General features: G+C 50.5%; 1 protein-coding gene and 1 long non-coding RNA gene across 11 annotated transcripts in view, besides 4 other annotated features; one reads left to right on the top strand and one right to left on the bottom strand.

Annotated features, from left to right (window-relative positions):
- Positions 1-1,178, bottom strand: part of DNPEP-AS1 (DNPEP antisense RNA 1) — a 15,063-nt gene extending 13,885 nt beyond the window's left edge. For both annotated transcript variants that reach the window (NR_183823.1, NR_183822.1), the window contains exons 1-2: positions 952-1,178; positions 700-861 (exon numbers count right to left, since the gene is read on the bottom strand). This is a non-coding gene — a long non-coding RNA (DNPEP antisense RNA 1). The remainder of the gene's footprint in view (positions 1-699; positions 862-951) is intronic.
- DNPEP (aspartyl aminopeptidase) overlaps positions 1-17,705 on the top strand; it is a 27,965-nt gene extending 10,260 nt beyond the window's left edge. Inside the window, exons 1-16 of one of the 9 annotated variants that reach the window (NM_001319121.2) lie at positions 872-914; positions 1,000-1,046; positions 2,585-2,678; positions 2,800-2,856; positions 2,970-3,083; positions 3,337-3,462; positions 3,650-3,780; positions 4,042-4,117; positions 4,217-4,324; positions 5,305-5,382; positions 6,534-6,617; positions 7,609-7,769; positions 8,164-8,203; positions 8,312-8,413; positions 14,726-14,893; positions 15,406-17,705. In NM_001319121.2, the coding sequence (NP_001306050.1) occupies positions 2,676-2,678; positions 2,800-2,856; positions 2,970-3,083; positions 3,337-3,462; positions 3,650-3,780; positions 4,042-4,117; positions 4,217-4,324; positions 5,305-5,382; positions 6,534-6,617; positions 7,609-7,769; positions 8,164-8,203; positions 8,312-8,413; positions 14,726-14,893; positions 15,406-15,456 (1,299 nt within the window). In that variant the 5' untranslated portion in view covers positions 872-914; positions 1,000-1,046; positions 2,585-2,675 and the 3' untranslated portion in view covers positions 15,457-17,705. Of the gene's footprint in view, positions 1-871; positions 915-999; positions 1,047-1,835; positions 2,173-2,385; positions 2,471-2,584; positions 2,679-2,767; positions 2,857-2,969; positions 3,084-3,336; positions 3,463-3,649; positions 3,781-4,041; positions 4,118-4,216; positions 4,325-5,304; positions 5,383-6,533; positions 6,618-7,608; positions 7,770-8,163; positions 8,204-8,311; positions 8,414-14,725; positions 14,894-15,405 lie in introns of those variants that run through there. The other 8 variants (NM_001319122.2, NM_012100.4, NM_001319119.2 and 5 more) reach the window with 8 other exon arrangements.
- Positions 1,035-1,184: a silencer, noted in NCBI's record as "silent region_12356". NCBI's record gives its function as "represses an Ori minimal core promoter by ATAC-STARR-seq in GM12878 lymphoblastoid cells {active_cell/tissue: GM12878}" and the evidence as "EXISTENCE:reporter gene assay evidence [ECO:0000049][PMID:35858748]".
- Positions 1,265-1,784: a silencer, noted in NCBI's record as "silent region_12355". NCBI's record gives its function as "represses an Ori minimal core promoter by ATAC-STARR-seq in GM12878 lymphoblastoid cells {active_cell/tissue: GM12878}" and the evidence as "EXISTENCE:reporter gene assay evidence [ECO:0000049][PMID:35858748]".
- Positions 1,805-2,044: a silencer, noted in NCBI's record as "silent region_12354". NCBI's record gives its function as "represses an Ori minimal core promoter by ATAC-STARR-seq in GM12878 lymphoblastoid cells {active_cell/tissue: GM12878}" and the evidence as "EXISTENCE:reporter gene assay evidence [ECO:0000049][PMID:35858748]".
- Positions 2,309-3,155: an enhancer, noted in NCBI's record as "H3K4me1 hESC enhancer chr2:220251315-220252161 (GRCh37/hg19 assembly coordinates)". NCBI's record gives its function as "activates a minimal SCP1, AML or CMV promoter by ChIP-STARR-seq in naive H9 embryonic stem cells {active_cell/tissue: H9 hESC(naive)}" and the evidence as "EXISTENCE:reporter gene assay evidence [ECO:0000049][PMID:30033119]".

Genomic DNA, 17,705 nt, shown 5'->3' with positions numbered 1-17,705 from the left:
GATTCTCTTGCCTCAGCCTCCCAAGTAGCTGCTGGGATTACAGGCACGTGCCACTACACCCGGCTAATTTTTGTATTTTTTGTAGAGACGGGGTTTCACCATGTTGGTCAGACTGGTCACGAACTCCTGACCTCAAGTGATCTACCCGCCTCGGCCTCCCAAAGTGCTGGGATTACAGGCGTGAGCCACTGCGCCAGGCCCATAATGGTATTTCAACAAACGGTTAGGGAATGCCATGAATTTAAGCCAGCACCTAGTGGGTGAATTCTTGAAAACTCCCCTGCCATATCTACTAGTTTGAAGTGAGGGCTGCAGGACCTTTCCAGCCTCTCCCCATCCCACCCTGTCACTCCCCACCCCAGGTATATAAACGGCAGGTTGCTCCATAAACCTGTGATCTCTGGAATTTTGTTTGAACCCCTGGTAGCTGGGCCCTGTTTTGGATCTAGAGGCCACCAAGAGTCCTGATCAGTTCCTGCAGCTAGGAAGGTGCATGGGGTTTAAACGTGCTACTCACTACTCCTGACATGGGAATACTGGAACTGCCAATAATGTGGAATTTGTTTTTCTGTTGTTTTTAACAAATGGAAAGGGCACAGATATCAGAGTCAAATCCCAGATCCACCCAAACAGCTATGTGATCTTGGGCAAGTCAACTTCTGTGTCCCTTGTGGACCTCCCGTGTAACATAACACTTACCAAAGCGCATAGAAAAAGGTCCAGAAAAGATCTGAGAGAAGGCTGTAGGGTTGTTCCAGGCCTCTGCAATCAAACTGATGGAGTTCAAACCCCACCTGTGCCGTTTATTACCTCGACGGATCACTAGTCTCCGTATCTCAGCTTTCTCTGTTCATGCATAAACTGGGGACAGTAAGAGTACATAGTTGATGGGGCAGTTGTGAAGATTAAACGAGGTAACAGGCCAATCTTTATCATAAAGCTAAAGCTCACCGTGAGCGCCCCATGGACATTAGCCTTATTGCTTTTATTGTCACAAAGGTGGCTGTGGCGAGAGACAGCACTTTGTACCGTACCCGTCGGACCCGGTGAGCTGGAGGGGCGAGCTTTTTATTGGCCTCGAGGCCCGGGGCACGGGGAGGCGGGCCGTCCGCGGCTGTCCTAGCACCTCCGCGGCAGCAGAGGGCCCTGGCGGCGGCTGCGGGTCGCGCGGCGTGGGTGACGGGGGTGCAGGGCGGGGCCTAACGAGCAGCCCCCGCAGGGGCGGAGACGAGGGCGGGCCGGAGGCGGAGGCGCGGCCTGGAGAGGGATGGGGCGGAAGCGGGGCGGGCGGTGCAGCCTAGCGAGGGGCGGGGCGGACGAGGAAGCGTGACGAGCGGCGGGGCGGGTGGAGCAGCCTGGCGAGGAGCGGGGCGGGGTGGGCGGCACGGCCTGACAAGGGGCGGGGAGCGCAAGGAGGCCTGACGAAGGGCGGGGCGGAGCAAGGGCGGGGGCAGGGCGAGTAGTGGGGTACAGCGAGGGCCGGAGCGGATGGGGGAAACCTGGTGAGGGGCGGGACAAAGCGGGGAGGGCGGTGCAGCCTGGCGAGAGGCGGGGCGGACGAGGAAGCTTGACGAGGGGCGGGGCGGGCGGTGCAGCCCTGCGAGGGGCAGGGCGGGCGGTGCTTCCTGGCGAGGGGCGGGGCGGGGCGGGCGGTGCGGCCAAGCTAGGGGCGGGGCAAGGGCGGGGCAAGGCGGGTGGTGGTGCCCAGCGAGGGGCGGAGCGGACAGGGTAAGCCCGCCGAGGGGCGGGGCTGACCGAGGTGGGCGGGGCGGATGCCGAGGGGCGGGGAGAGGTGGGCGGGGAGGCCAAACATGGGGCGGGGCGGCGCGGCCGGGGAAGCGTGATGAAGGCCTACGAGTGCGGCGCGGCCTGAAGGGGCACGCGGGGGACCTGCAAAGCTAGTGAGGGGCGGGGCAGGCGGCGCGGTGGGGGCGGGCCGAGCCCGGAGGCCAGATGAGCGGACACAGCCCCACGCGCGGGGCCATGCAGGTAAGTGGCTCCCGACGGCCCCACTTGAATTTCGATCCCAGACCGGGTCCGGCGCCCTCCGGGGCCCAAGCTTAGCGCGGTGCTGCAGTGGGGCCGCCTGACCCAAAGCGAAACCGAAAGCCCCGCGGAGGGTGACCTGACGACTTTCCCGGGACTGGAAGGGGGAGTCCTGCGAGAGACTAGGTGGGTGCGAGAGAGGAGTCAGGGTGCTCCTTGGGGTACAGGGCTTTGGCTCCGGGCTGGGTACGCGCACGTGATGCAGGCCGCCTCAGAGTATGGGGCCCGCTTGGGATCCCGGAGTTTGGGAGCAGAACAGGATTTCCTAGCTGGGCAGGGACATGGGGGCGGGACTTAGGGAGTCGGGCTAAAGTTCGGATTAAGGGGCGGGCCTGGCTCATGATCCTGGGCCGGCGGGCTGAAGCTTTCAACGGAGTTTCAGCCCTGGGTTTGGGTCTCTCGGTGGGGACGGGCGGAAGCAGAGGTCTGTGCCTTAGAGTGGTCACTTCTGGGGGTGGGGATGGGAGAATCCTCGGAACCTGGGTGAAAGGTCAGGGGTCCCAGACCTTGTAAAAGTCTGAGCATCCCCCTCCCCTAGGTGGCCATGAACGGTAAGGCCCGCAAAGAGGCGGTGCAGACTGCGGCTAAGGAACTCCTCAAGTTCGTGAACCGGAGTCCCTCTCCTTTCCATGGTAAGCGGTGGCCAGGGCAAGGGAGGAGGGTGGAGGCTGATGCGCCCTTCACCAGCTTCCATCGCTGTGAGAGGGTGCTTTTCCCACAGCTGTGGCTGAATGCCGCAACCGCCTTCTCCAGGCTGGCTTCAGTGAACTCAAGGAGACTGAGAAATGGAATATTAAGCCCGAGAGCAAGGTACTGGGGGTGGGGTGGGGGTGGAAAGGCAGGTCCCTAGGCTGGTCTCCAAGCCCTGTGTGCCAGCTGAGTAATGCAACTCACACCCCTGTCTTTCCTCCCCTTCTCCTCAGTACTTCATGACCAGGAACTCCTCCACCATCATAGCTTTTGCTGTAGGGGGCCAGTACGTTCCTGGCAATGGCTTCAGCCTCATCGGGGCCCACACGGACAGCCCCTGCCTCCGGGTAAGGAACTCGGACGGTGTTGGGGTGGGAGGAGATGTCAGAGGGAGTACAGGGCAAAAGAGAACTAGGAGGTACAAACTGGGGCCTCTATCCCCTGGAGTAAGGGAGAAGGTAAACTTGTTGGCCCCTTCCTTCACACCTTGAGCCTTTCATGTGACACTAATATTCGCTGTCTGTTACTTATGAGTAGCCAAAGTCTCATCTCCACATATCGTCATGAAGCCTTCTCTGACTTCTCCATCTTTACACTCAGGTGAAACGTCGGTCTCGCCGCAGCCAGGTGGGCTTCCAGCAAGTCGGTGTGGAGACCTATGGTGGTGGGATCTGGAGCACCTGGTTTGACCGTGACCTGACTCTGGCTGGACGCGTCATTGTCAAGGTGGGAACCGAGGTTGGGGATGGCGGAGCCTCCTCAGAAGACTGACTGCCACACTCCTCAGGGTACCCGTGGGGAAGAGGGGTGGGGGCAGTCTGGTCAGAGGACCACCCTGCTTAGTCTGAGTGAAGTAAAGACTGACCACTGGGGTAGGAGGCACCCTGGGCTGACCTGGCCTGGCTGGCTGCAGTGCCCTACCTCAGGTCGGCTGGAGCAGCAGCTGGTGCACGTGGAGCGGCCCATTCTTCGCATCCCACACCTGGCCATCCATCTGCAGCGAAATATCAACGAGAACTTTGGGCCCAACACAGAGATGCATCTGTGAGACTGGGGCAGGGCTGCGGTGGCTGGGAGGGATGGAGAATGGTACCAGGTGATTATTACCTAATGGTAGCCATTAGGTCACATTTTACTCTTGGGACCCAGTTAATTTCTAAGGGTCCTCACAGCCTTGTGATTTGGGGAGTGGGCTGGGAATTGAAGGGCAGAGGCAGTTGCCCATCAGGAGGCACCTGAACTTATGGATGCCGCACTCAGCTGTGCCCTCCTCGCAATCCCCCCACAACCCACGTCTCCCCACAGAGTCCCCATTCTTGCCACAGCCATCCAGGAGGAGCTGGAGAAGGGGACTCCTGAGCCAGGGCCTCTCAATGCTGTGGTAAGAGAGTCTCCTGATCATGGGGAGGGCGGCAGAGTCCCCTGAGAAGTGGGGAGGAGAGGAGGAATGGACTCTTCCCAGCATCTTTCTGCTCTTCAGGATGAGCGGCACCATTCGGTCCTCATGTCCCTGCTCTGTGCCCATCTGGGGCTGAGCCCCAAGGACATAGTGGAGATGGAGCTCTGCCTTGCAGACACCCAGCCTGCGGTGAGGACTGGCTGTAGGAACCTGTGGGTGAAGGGCCTCCAGGATCCTGGCCACCCCTAGCCCGTCCTGCTGAAGCACCCATCACCTCCACCAAGCCCTCAGTAACTCTCATCCCCGTTTTTCCCAGTAGACACATCCCCCACTGCTTCTAGGGCGGTGGTTCTCAAAAAGACAAGTTCCCTACCCCAGACCTGCCCACTAGGACTATCTGGGAATTGGCCCTTTTTACAGATTCCCAAAGAGTTTCTTCTACAGGTGGGCCCTGTCTGCTTTGACCCACACTGACACTGAACTGCTTAGGGAAAGAGGCCTGGATGTGGCCATCTGTTCTCTGTCTCCCGGTTGCTGATGGTCAGAGATTGCTAAATCTTTGGATGCTGTGTCCTGCTTGAACACGTACTAAGTTTCTGTTTTTTGGCTGGTTTCCTCTGTTTACTTCTTTGGCCTTTTTGATGACAATTCAGCCCTTCCTTTTCTTGACCCACAGGAAGAGGTCAAGAGCTATTGGCCTCCACCCTTTTGTTCCTCAGCACCAACCCAGCCCCCTTCTCCAATCTCTGCTTGGTCCTGCCTAGCAAGGAATCCCAGCACTTTGGGAGGCTGAGGCGGGGGGAATCACATGAGGTCAGGAGTTCGAGACTAGCCTGACCACCATGGTGAAACCCTGTCTCTAATAAAAATACAAAAATTAGCTGGGCCTGGTGGTGCATGCCTGTAATCCCAGCTACTCAGGAGGCTGAGGCACGAGAATCCTTTGAACCCGGGAGGCGGAAGTTGCAGTGAGCCGAGATCGAGCCATTGCACTTCAGACTGGGCGACAAGAGCGAACCTTCATCTCAAAAAAAAGAAAAAACAAAATAGTGCCCTAAGCCAGGGGTCAGGGAGAGGTTGCGCAAGAAACCAAGGAGACCCTTGGGAGCAAAAGAAAGGTGAGTGGGGGTGGAGGGTTGAAGGTCGGGCTGACTGTCTTACCTCTCTAGGTCTTGGGTGGTGCCTATGATGAGTTCATCTTTGCTCCTCGGCTGGACAATCTGCACAGCTGCTTCTGTGCCCTGCAGGTGAGGAGCCGGGGCGCCCCAGGCAGCACATAACCACCAGCAGAGGTGGTATGTTTGGGGTCGGGGGAGCTGCCTAAAGCCCCAGCAGGTTGTGAGAGAGGGCCATTGTCTACCCGCTCAGTCTGCTGGTGCTGGATGGACCAGGAGGGGGCCCTAAATGTTGCAGCCTCAGCATCGCCACCTTTGGTCTCTGCCCTTGCACTATCAGGGTGTTGAGGCAAGAAGAAGGAGGAGAAGTTGTTTCAGGCACCATGGTCTCTTGTCCTAGCCTTGCTCCTGCTGCTTTTCCTGAAGTTAACAACCTCTGCCTCAGGGAAAGGCTTTATCATCCACAAGGCAGTATCATCCACCTCCTTCTGCTTCCTACGCCACTCCCCAGGCTTAAGACCCCAGCCTTCTCCCTGTTTCTTGGGATCTCAGTCAGGTAGCCTCTCTTCCTAGTCACCTTGATATTCCCCACCTTCTCTCCACCCTAGTCAGTTCCCTTTCTTTCTCTCCTCTTGCCCTTGATCTCCCTCTGCCTTTTTCTGCCTTTCCTTCCCTGTAATCCTGTGGCTGGAGATAGGCTTTGGGCTGTAATTGAGACCAGAGCTGGACCTGGGACCTGCATCTACTTCTGCAGGCAACCAGCCAGTCATGTCACCTTGATGGAGTCTGTCACCTCTTTGAACCTCAGTCTTTTCCCTGAGGCCAATCAGTTTATGTGATGTGTGTAGCCTTTTGGCTTTCCAGGACTCTCAGCTCTTCCTCTCTGTCCTCCACATCTTCTACTGCCTTTTGCATGGGAAGGTAGAGAACAACACCCAAAGGATGGTGTCTCCTGTCCCAGTTGAAAAGGTTTCTACCTAGCTATTGATCTGGCCAAAAAAAAAAAGAAAGAAAGAAAAAAAGAGAAAAAAAAGGTCCTCACCACACCTTAAAGGTTTCTACCTATGTAGCTATTTATTTGGCAAGAAAAAAAAGGTCCCCACCACACCCTCTGCCAGGCAGTGCCCTAATTGATAAAAGTCATGGCCATGGAAGGCAGACAGGGGAATGTGCACACCCAAGGTGCTGGTGGATGGGGGAGCGTGCACACCCAAGGTGCTGGTGGGCTGAGTTCCAGCAGAAGCAGGTTGGAGATGATGCTCTCATTTCCTTCCCTGAACCAGGCCTTGATAGATTCCTGTGCAGGCCCTGGCTCCCTGGCCACAGAGCCTCACGTGCGCATGGTCACACTCTATGACAACGAAGAGGTACGTGGAGGGTTCTGGGGAGGGTCACCTCTGCGGAGTCTTCCACAGCCAACTTGTTGTGCCAGGCATCCACCGTGAGCCAGGGCTCTTCTGGGGGCCCCAAGACAGGGGAGATGCTGCCTGTGCCTCCTTAGCACTTGGTGTCTCCTCTGACTCAACATAGATCTGCTTATTCGAGGGTGACCGTCTCTCCTGTATCTCTCTTTGTGCCACATGGTGAGCTTCTTCCTTTAGGACAGGGACTCTACCCAGCCCATCCTCGTAGCCCCAGGGCTCAGCACAGAGTAGGTCCTCATGATGCCTGCGTGTGTGAGGCTGCAGTCTCAGCTGCATAACAGAGCTTGAACAGCTAGTGCTCTCTCATGTAACAACCCAGGTCAGAGTTAGCAGTTTAGGAGGGGTCCCTGCCGTCCTGAACACATGACTTCCATTTCAGGATTCAGGGTGGCCGTTCCAGCTCTGGCCATCATGTCTACACTGAGTTAGTAGGAAGGGAAGAGAGGGCAAAGGGGCAGTAGACACCCCCTGGCTTTAAGGGCATGATCCAGAAGTGACATTCATCACTGCTTACATTCCACAGAACTTAGCTGCAGGGGAGCCTGGAAATGTCATCTCTAGCTGGGTAGTTAAGTGCTTAGCTACAACTTGGGTGTTCTAAAAGATATCATGGACAGTTAGCAGTCTCTGTCATACACATAAAAGAAAATTGACCAGTGTGGTGGGGCACCTGTGCTGAGCCCCAGATGTGAGGGTCACGAGAGGAGGAAGGGGAGCAGTGCAGGAAACCCACCAGTACTGTTAAGAATGTGAGTTAGTTTGGTCTCAGCCCACTGTCTGGTGTTCAGTGACGACCCCAGGTTAGGGGTGTTGCTAAGAACACCCAGTGACTCAGTGGGGTTTTGGGCCAGTTGGGCAATGGGCCCCTCTCACTGGCTTCCAAGATCAGGCCCCTAAGCCCAGATTCCCAGAGTCAGGACTCTACTGTCGCCAGGTGGGGTCTGAGAGTGCACAGGGAGCACAGTCACTGCTGACAGAGCTGGTGCTGCGGCGGATCTCAGCCTCGTGCCAGCACCCGACAGCCTTCGAGGAAGCCATACCCAAGTCCTTCATGATCAGCGCAGACATGGCCCATGCTGTGCATCCCAACTACCTGTGAGTCTCTAGTGCCAGTCACACAGTCTTCACATAGCTGGAGACCCAAGCATAACCTGCCTTGAGGCTCTGCCTTGGCCCCAGCCTCTTCCTTTCTCCCTTCTTCATTCTGCCGGGAGGTTCACGGGCACTTCCTTTTCACTACTGCGAGACCAACTTGGTCAAAGTCATGCAATGCCTAACCCAGGTGTGTGGAATACACCTTTGTCTACAAACTTGTTTCCATCTATTGCTAGAGGCTGCCCGGAACCCTGTGTGTGGAATGACTCTGAAGTCCCACTGGGCTGGGCGGGAAAGAGTGGTGATCTATTAGTGATGTCTGCCATGGGAGGGTGGTGAGTGTCGACAGGCCTGCTCCTGTTTGCTATGTCTGGCCCTTATCTGTCTCTTACAGGGACAAGCATGAGGAGAACCACCGGCCTTTATTCCACAAGGTGAGACGTGCCATTTCTCCCTAGGGACTTGGAGGTCTGGCTGTTCCGAGCGCCGACTCATTCCCTTTGGGCCTGTCATTACCTCTGCCTCACCTTGACTCTCCCCAGGGCCCCGTGATCAAGGTGAACAGCAAGCAACGCTATGCTTCAAACGCGGTGTCAGAGGCCCTGATCCGAGAGGTGGCCAACAAAGTCAAGGTCCCCCTGCAGGTGAGGGTGGGCCCTGCCTGGGAAGGTGTGATGGAGGGAGCTTGGTGGGGGCACAAACAGATGGGCCCCCCATGAACAGGGAACCTGGTAGATGGCCTTGAGTGGAGGGGGGTCCCAGTAGAGTGAGAAAAGCAGGGATTTTGGATACAGCTGGATTCCATGCTGGCTCTGCTGCAGTGCTAGCTGTGTGACCTTGGACTAGTCTCCTAACCTTTCTGAGTCTCAGTTTCCACATCTGTAGAATAGGGGTGATAGTGATGCCTACTTTGCTGGATTTCTATGAAGACTGAAGGTACAGTGTGCTCCTGGCACATGGTAGGCCTGTCTTTCCCTGCAGCACCCCCACTTCCCCTGTGTCTCCTACACACCCTGGGGGCTTCCACAGGGAAAGTTCAGGGCTGGGGAGTATGGAACTCCAACTACTCATTTTCTCTCTTGCCTGAGAAATTAGACATCTAGTCCTTTCTCCTCAGTGTGTGTGTGTGTGTGTGTACATATATATGTTGTATACATGTATGTATATAACACATGACAGTATTGTGTATACACATATACACACATATATACTGTCATGCATTGCTTAACAACAGGGATACATTCTGGGAAATGGCATCATTAGGCAATTTTGTCATTGTGTGAGCATCATGGAGTATATGTACACAAACCTAGACGGACAGCCTGCTGCACACCTAGGTTGTGTGGTGTAGCCCATTGCTCCTAGGCTACAAACCTGTACGGCTTCTTACTGTGCTGAAAACTGTAGGTAACTGTAACAAAATGGTCAGTGTATCTAAACATAGAAAAGGTACAGAAGGCCAGGCGTGTTGGCTCACACCTGTAATCCCAGCATTTTGGGAGGCCAAGACAGGCAGATCACTTGAGGTCAGGAGTTCAAAACCAGCCTGGCCAACATGGTGAAACCCCATCCTACCAAAAAATACAAAAATTAGGCAGGCGGAGTGGTGCATGCCTGTAGTCCCAGCTACTTGGGAGGCCTTCCCTACTTGGGAAGGATCTCTTGAGCCCGGGAGGTGGACGTTGCAGTGAGCCGAGATCGTGCCATTGCACTCCAGCCTGGGCGACAGAGTGAGACCCTGTCTCCAAAAAAACAAAACCAAAAAAAAAAAAAAAAGAAAAGAAAAAGAAAAGTTACAGGAAGCATATGGTATAAAAGATTTAAAATGGTCCACCTGTATAGGGCACTTAGGAATGGAGCTTACGGCACTCGAAGTTGCCCTGGGTGAGTGGTGAGTTAATGTGAAGGCCTAGGACATTACTGTACACTATTGCAGACTTTATCAATGCCGGACACTTAGGCTACACTACATTTATTTTGAAAATTGTATTTCTTCAACAATAAATTAGTTTACTGTAACTTTTTAACTTTATTTATTTATTTATTTATTTATTTATTTTTGAGATGGAGTCTCACTCTGTCACCCAGGCTGGAGTGCAGTGGCACGATCTCGGCTCACTGCAACCTCTGCCTCCCAGGTTCAAGCGATTCTGCCTCAGCCTCCTGAATAGCTGGGATTACAGGCACGCACCACCATGCCTGGCTAATTTTTGTATTTTTAGTAGAGACGGGGTTTCACCATGTTGGTCAGGCTGGTCTCGAACTCCTGACCTTGTGATCCGCCCGCCTCGGCCTCCCAAAGTGTTGGGATTACAGGTGTGAGCCACTGCACCCGGCCAACTTTTTTACTTTATAACCTTCCATTTTTAAAATTTTTGACTCCTTTGTAACAACAGTTGGCTTAAAACACAAACACATAGTACAGCTATTCAAAAGTATTTTCTTTTTTGTATCCTTATTCTGTAAGCTTTTTTCTATTTTTAAAATTTTTCGTTATTTTTAAAATTTTTAAACTTTTTGGTTAAAAACCAAGACACAAACATACACATTAGCCTAGGCCTATACAGGGTCAGGATTATCAATGTCCCTGTCTTCCACCTCCACATCTTGTCTCACTGGAAGGTCTTCAGGGAGAGTGACATGCAGGGAGCTGCTATCTACCATGATAACAATGTGCTCCTAAAGGACCTGCCTGAGGCTGTTTTACAGTTAACTTTTTTTTTTTTTTCTAATAAGTAGGAGTACATTCTAAAATAACAGTAGGCTGGGCATCGTGGCTCATGCCTGTAATCCCAGCACTTTGGGAGGCCGAGGCGGGTGGATCACTTGAGGTCAGGAGTTCAAAACCAGCTGGCCAACATGGTGAAACCCCGTCTCTACTGAAAATACAAAAATTATCTGGGCATGGTGGTGTGCGCCTGTAATCCCAGCTACTCAGGAGGCTGAGACAGGAGAATCGCTTGAACCCAAGAGGCAGAGGTTGCAGGGAGCCAAGATGGTGCCATTGCACTCCAGCCTGGGCGACAAGAGTGAAACTCCATCTCAAAATAAATAAATAACAATAAAAAGCATAATATAGTAAACACATAAACCATAACATAGTCATTTATTATTCTTAGGTATTGCATACTGTACATAATTGCACGTGTTATGCTTTTATACGACTGGCAGTAGATTTATTTACGCCGGCATCGCCACAAACAAGTGAGTCATGCATTATGCCACAACATCGCAACAGCTGTGATGTCACTAGGCGACAGGAATTTTTCAGCTCCATTATAATCTTACGGGACCACTGTCATATGTAGTCTATCTTTGACTGAAATGTCACCATGTAGTGCATGACTGTCTATTTCTATATTTATCTGTCTACCTCTCTATATCAGGGACTCAGGCATGGGCGGTCCAGTGACAATCATAGCAGGTGTAGAACCGTGGTATCCTGACTCCCAGCCCAGGGCTCTTTCTGCTGCACAGTGTTCACTCTTCCTTTCGGAAAGCTGAATTGTTCTGCCCCCAGGAAGCCTTCTCTGAGGACGTGATATTTGAGCTGAGACCTAACCACTGAGAAATAGGCAGCTATGGGAGGGTCCCAGCCAGAGGGCACAAGTAGAAAGGCCCCAAGGGGGGCCAGGAATGAGCTCGTCTTTTAGGAGGAGAGAAAGGCAGGATGGTAGAGCCAGGATGAGAGCAGGAGAGGGTTAGGGGAGAGGCCCAGCTCAGTGATGATACAGGAATACCTAGGCCATGGAAGGACATTTCAATTTTATTCTAAGGCAGTGAGAAGACATTGGGAGATTTTTCTTTAATAATTTACAGCAGAAGTAGGACACATGTATTTTAGAAAATTAGAAAATACAGATAGAGATGAGAAAATAAAACACTAATCTGCAGAAATTTGGTATAGTCTTCCAGATTTTTTTCTATGCATAAACTTCATATACACTTTTTTAAAATGATATTATATTGGATATATTTTTGTTGCCTCTTTTCACTCAGTCATCTTCACCTTTCTATTTGAGTTTGGTTTTTTTTTTTAATGTTTTTTTAAAATTAGAAACAGGGTCTTGCTTTGTCTCCCAGGCTGGAGTGCAGTGGCATGATCATAGCTCACTGCACCCTCAAACTCCTGAGCTCAGAAGATCTTCCTGCCTCAGTCTCCCAAGTAGCTGGGACTACAGATGCATGCCACCATGCTGGCTAATTTTCTATTTTTAGTAAAAATGGGGTTCTTGCTATGTTGCCCAGGCTGGTCTTGAACTCCTGGCTTCAAGCAGTCCTCCCACCTTGGCCTCCCAAAGTGCTAGGATTACAGGCATGAGCCACCATTCCCAACCCCATTTCAGGAAATTGTTGTTTCAGTAAACTTGTACCTCATCTAATGCACAGATCACTTTCCGTTTTCCCCAGTTATCCTCAAAATATTTTTTTTACAGGTATTTGGCCCACCCTAGTATCCAACTCAGGACAATGCGTTATATTTGGCTGATATGTTGCTTAAATGTCTTCCAGTGTAGCACAGTTCCCCCCACCCCTTTTTAAATAGCATTGGCTTATTCAAGAAACTTCTGGATATGTCTCCTTGCTGCCCCATGGTGTCATTTAGCTTGTCTGTAAGCCCCGTATTTCCTATCAACTGGAATTTCTAAAGACTTGATGGATTCAAGTTAAACTTTTTTTTTTTTTTTTTTTTTTTTTTTTGACAGAGTGAGAGTTTCACTCTGTCGCCCAGGCTGGAGTCTAATGGCGTGATCTCGGCTCATTGCAACCTCCGCCTCCCTGGTTCAAGTGATCCTTCTGTCTCAGCCTCCAAAGTAGCTGGGATTACAAGTGTGCACCACGATGCCCAGCTAATTTTTGTATTTTTAGTAGAGACAGGGTTTCACCATATTGGCCAGACTGGTCTTGAACTCCTGACCTCAAGTGGTCCGCCCACCTCAGCCTCCCAAAGTGCTGGGATTACAGGTGTGAGCCACCGTGCCTAGCCTCAAGTTAAACATTTTGGGCTAGAAGACATGGCTGGTGTATTCATATGGCATCACACACATGATATCTGGGTGGGCCACCCTTAGCCTTGCAAAGATTGACCACTGGACCAGGAATGGCCTCTTATCCTTTCATTATATAGTGCTTTTCCCCTATTGACCTGACAGTGACCCATACAAGTGATGAGTTCCCTATTAACCAGATACCTAATGGTTTTAACACTTACAATAATCCTTGTCTAAATCAGTAATTTCATTAGAATTTACCGAAAAATGCCCGCTTCCCCTGAATTCTTTCAGTCTTCCATTCTTCTGTGAAGTGGAACTTCTTCCCTCCAATCAACTAGGGTTCTTTGGTTATCATGGAATATCATTCCTATTGATTGGAAAGCAGGATAAATGCTAATTCTTTCTGTTATCCACTTTTCAAGGTGAAATGTCGTCTCAAATAGTGACAAAGAAAGATTTTTCCTTTTCCTTTTTTTTTCTTTTTCTTTTTTTTTTTTTAGACAGGGTCTCGCTCTGTTGCCCAGGCTGGAGTGTAGTGTCGCAATCTCAGCTCACTGCAACCTCCTCCCCACAGGTGCAAGAGAGTCTCATACCTCAGCCACCTGAGTAGCTGGGATTACAGGCATGCACCACCATGCCCGGCTGTTTCTTGTATTTTTAATAGATACAGGGTTTCACCATGTTGGCCAGGCTGGTCTTGAACTCCTGGAATCATGTGATCTGCACACCTTGGCCTCCCAAAGTGCTGGGATTACAGGCGTGAGCCAGCACACCTGGCCTGCTTTTCCCTTTCTGACTATCTTAGAATCATGGAATTTCATTTATTCAGTGTCCTCTATAATTATTATATTTGATTTGTGAATTGCCATGGCTTTGACCAGTGGGAGCCCCTTCAGCATAACTCCTGTGCCCTTTGACTCTTGGAAGTCTCCTTGCTTTTTGGCACAACAAAAATTGTAGACATGTCTTGTTCATTTCGCCCCCCAGACTTGGTAGTTTTTGGCAAGCAGTGGTATTAGAGACCATAGCCTGGCACTGCAAGTGTTCATTGTTCTTGGGGGAGGGGACGGTGCTTTGGGTCCATTTCCATGGACATAGCAAGAAAAAAGTACATATTTTAAAAATCATGAAGCCAGGTGTGGTAGCTCAGGCCTGTAATCCCAGCACTTTGAGAGGTAGTGGATCACTTGAAGTCAGAAGTTCGAGAACAGCCTGGCCAATATGGCAAAATCTCGTCTCTACTGAAAATACAATAATTAGCTGAACGTGGTGGTGCGTGCCTGTAATCCCAGCTACTTGGGAGGCTGAGACAGGAGAATCGCTTGAACCCAGGAGGCAGAGGTTGCAGCGAGCTGAGATTGCGCCACTGCACTCCAGCCTGGGCATCGCAGGGAGACTCCATCTCAAAATAAATAAATAAAATAAAATAAAAATTTTTAAATAAAAATCATGAGTTAATACTGTAATTCTTATTCATAAAATTATTCTTATTTAGTTAAATAGTTACTACCTATTTGATTTTGTAATTCTGTTTTCTCTTACACTGAAAACCTTGATATCTAGCATCATATTTTCATTTTCTTATTTTTTTACCATAATATAAAGAAAATCATTTCAAAATGTCAGTAGCAATATTTTTAAAGACACTGATACCACTGAGTGATTTTTTTCTGTGAGTGTGGATATTAAGCAAGAGGGTGACAAGGATGGATACTTTTAAAAATCCCCCTTCCTGCTGTGTGGAGAATGGATTGGAACTAGGGTGGTGGCAATGCAGATAGAATGGGACCAATTCAGAATATATTGTCCTTTGGGGTCTGCCATTTAGCATTGGCTTTGATTTTATGCTCCGAATGGACCATCTCCCAGGCCCCTTCCCACCCTGCAATTCTAAGATGGCGTCCTCCTTGGCTCTGATAAGCACACACTGCATGTTGCTCATGGGTCTCCTGCTCTCCCTAGGATCTCATGGTCCGGAATGACACCCCCTGTGGAACCACCATTGGACCTATCTTGGCTTCTCGGCTGGGGCTGCGGGTGCTGGATTTAGGCAGCCCCCAACTGGCCATGCACTCTATCCGGGAGATGGCCTGCACCACAGGAGTCCTCCAGACCCTCACCCTCTTCAAGGTAACACCCACCCCAGACCCTCTCTGGCAGCTGGGCTGCTTCCCCTCTAGTGCCTGGATTGGTTGCTGGGACAACATCGCCATCACAAAGTGACTGGCCTGAGTAATGGGGGCTGGTTGTCATGCTGGGGCCATGTAGGAAAACAAGGGTCCTGGCCAACCACAGTGGCTCATGCTATAATGACAACACTTGGGGAGGTGGGAGGATTGCTTGAGGCCAGGAGTTTGAGACCAGCCTGAGCAACATGGCAAGTCCATGTCTCTACAAAAGAGAAAAAAGAGATAAAACAACGGTCCTTATTCTTCTCAAGGCTCAGGGGCCCTGACCCAAAGAAATGGAAAATGAGGGGATGGGAAGAGGGGATCAGGGCTGAGAAGACTGGGGTGGCTGTCAAGAACAGATGAAACCTCGGTGCTTCTCTTGCTGGAACATATGTTGGTGGGAGGTGGGTGGCAGGACATCTCCATCTGGTCACTCACTAATTCCAAACTCCATGTTGCCTCCCATTATAGGGCTTCTTTGAGCTGTTCCCTTCTCTAAGCCATAATCTCTTAGTGGATTGAGCCCTCTTGGAAAGACTTCTCTGCCATCCCTTTGCACCTGAGAGGGGAAGTTCTCAGCTGAGCTGAAGCTGGATTATTAAAGTGGATTGTCACTCAGACTCTCCGTGCTACGCTTATTTGGAGACTAGAGGAGTGGGAGTTGAGCCTGGCTTGAACCTTTGGAACCAGAAAAGTTGGGGAGCAGGTGGAGGAGGCCACACTCCTGGGAGCTGATGGTTTTAAATCTGGTTTTAAATCTCTTCTCTGTCTCAAGTCCATGTCTGAAGTGGGTGAAGGGTGGACTGGATCCTCAAGCAGAAGGTCACTTCTCCCACCCCTAGTCCTCCACCTGGGAAATGGCCTCAACGGTCTTCCCTCTTTCCATCCCCAGAATGGGTGTCCCGCTCTGCCTTCAGAGATCCTGTTCTGCACTGGGCCACCTTCAGAGCTGCTCTGGGCAGACAAAGCTGTTTCTCACCCTCCCAAAATCCCTTCCCATCCCCTCTCAGGAGCTGCAAAGAGAAGGGCACAGTCTATACCTTATCACCCTTCATCATCCACTTCTCAGCAGTCCCTGGTATTACTTGATTGTGAACATATTATCAGGAAAAAAGATTATCATTGAAAAAATTGGAAAAGTCAAAGTCTGGCCGGGTGCAGCGGCTCACATCTGTATTCCCAGCATTTTGGGAGGCCAAGGCAGGTGGATCACTTGAGGTCAGAGTTCAAGACCAGCCTTGCCAACATGGTGAAACCCATCTCTACTTAAAAAAAAATACAAAAAAATTAGCCAGGCATGGTGGCACACACCTGTAATCTCAGCTATTCAGGAGACTGAGGCAGGAGAATAGCTTGAACCAAGGAGGCGTAGGTTGCAGTGAGCTGAGATGGAGCCACCACACTCCAGCCTGGGCAACAGAGCAAGGCTCTGTCTCAGAGAAAAAAGGCCAGGCGTGATGGGTCATGCCTGTAGTCCCAGCACTTTAGGAGGCTGAGGTGGGCGGATCACCTGAGGTCGGGAGTTCAAGACCAGCCTGACCAACATGGAGAAACCCTGTCCCTGCTAAAAATACAAAATTAGCCGGGCGTGGTGGCACATGCCTGTAATCTCAGCCACTCCGGAGGCTGAGGCAGGAGAATCGCTTGAACCCAGGAGGCGGAGGTTGTGGTGAGCCAAGATCCTGCCATTGCACTCTAGCCTGGGCAACAAGGGTGAAACTCTCTCAAAAAAAAAAAAAGAAAAAGAAAAAGTCAAAGCCTGCTTATAAACCAACCTCCTTCCTTCCACTAAAATAATTGTGCAAACTGGTGTCCTTCCAATCTTTTTGATACCTATATAAAAGTTTATTTCCATATAAATATTCCACTTCAGCTTTCTAAAAAACTTAATATAATATAGAGATATTTCTATATCAATACATATAAATTTAATTTAGCAATGGCAAAAAGTTAGAATTCATCTAAAGATTTCTCAGTAAAGGCAAGCCCAAATACACTATGAAATGTCCATTATAGGTAGCTATTGAGAAAAAGATAAATTGTATAGTGTGTGTACTAACATGAAGAGATTACAAAGACATTGTTGAGTAGAAAAGGCAGGTTGCAGAACTGGACACAGGACAAGGAGTACCTTCAAAACATTATATGGCCAGGCACGGTGGCTTATGCCTGTAATCCCAGCACTTTGGGAGGCCGAGGTGGGCAGATCACTTGAGGTCAGGAGTTCAAAACCAGCCTGGCCAACATGGTGAAAACCTCTCTACTAAAAATACAAAAAAAATTAGCCATGCGTGGTGGTGGGTGCCTGTAATCCCAGCTACTCGGGAGGCTGAGGCAGGAGAATAGCTTGAGCCAGGGAGGCAGAGGCTGCAGTGAGCCAAGATTGAGCCACTGCACTCCAGCCTGGGCGACAGAGCCAGACTCCGTCTCAAAAAAAAAATTATTATATATTTTTATGTGTATATAAATATGCACGTAGATGTATACATGTATAGAAAAAGCCTGGAAAAATGCACCTGAAACTTTTACAGTGATCTTCTGGGTTGGGAGTGACAAAAGGGCCTTAGCCTTTTTGTAATGGTTTCCTTTTGTATAACAGAATGTACCATGTATTACTTATGTAAAAAATTTTACCCTCACACTGTATTTACTCTTACAATTGGCGTACAGTATTTTATTGTATAGATGGTCATTATTTATTCAGTCTGTTAATAATGGTCATTTAAGTTTTTCTCCAGTTGACAACTCTAAATAACATTGAGATAAATGTA

The sequence above is a fragment of the Homo sapiens genome, chromosome 2 (genome assembly GCF_000001405.40).
Source record: "Homo sapiens chromosome 2, GRCh38.p14 Primary Assembly".
Lineage (NCBI taxonomy): Eukaryota > Metazoa > Chordata > Mammalia > Primates > Hominidae > Homo > Homo sapiens.
This window is presented reverse-complemented; position numbering and strand designations above follow the sequence as displayed.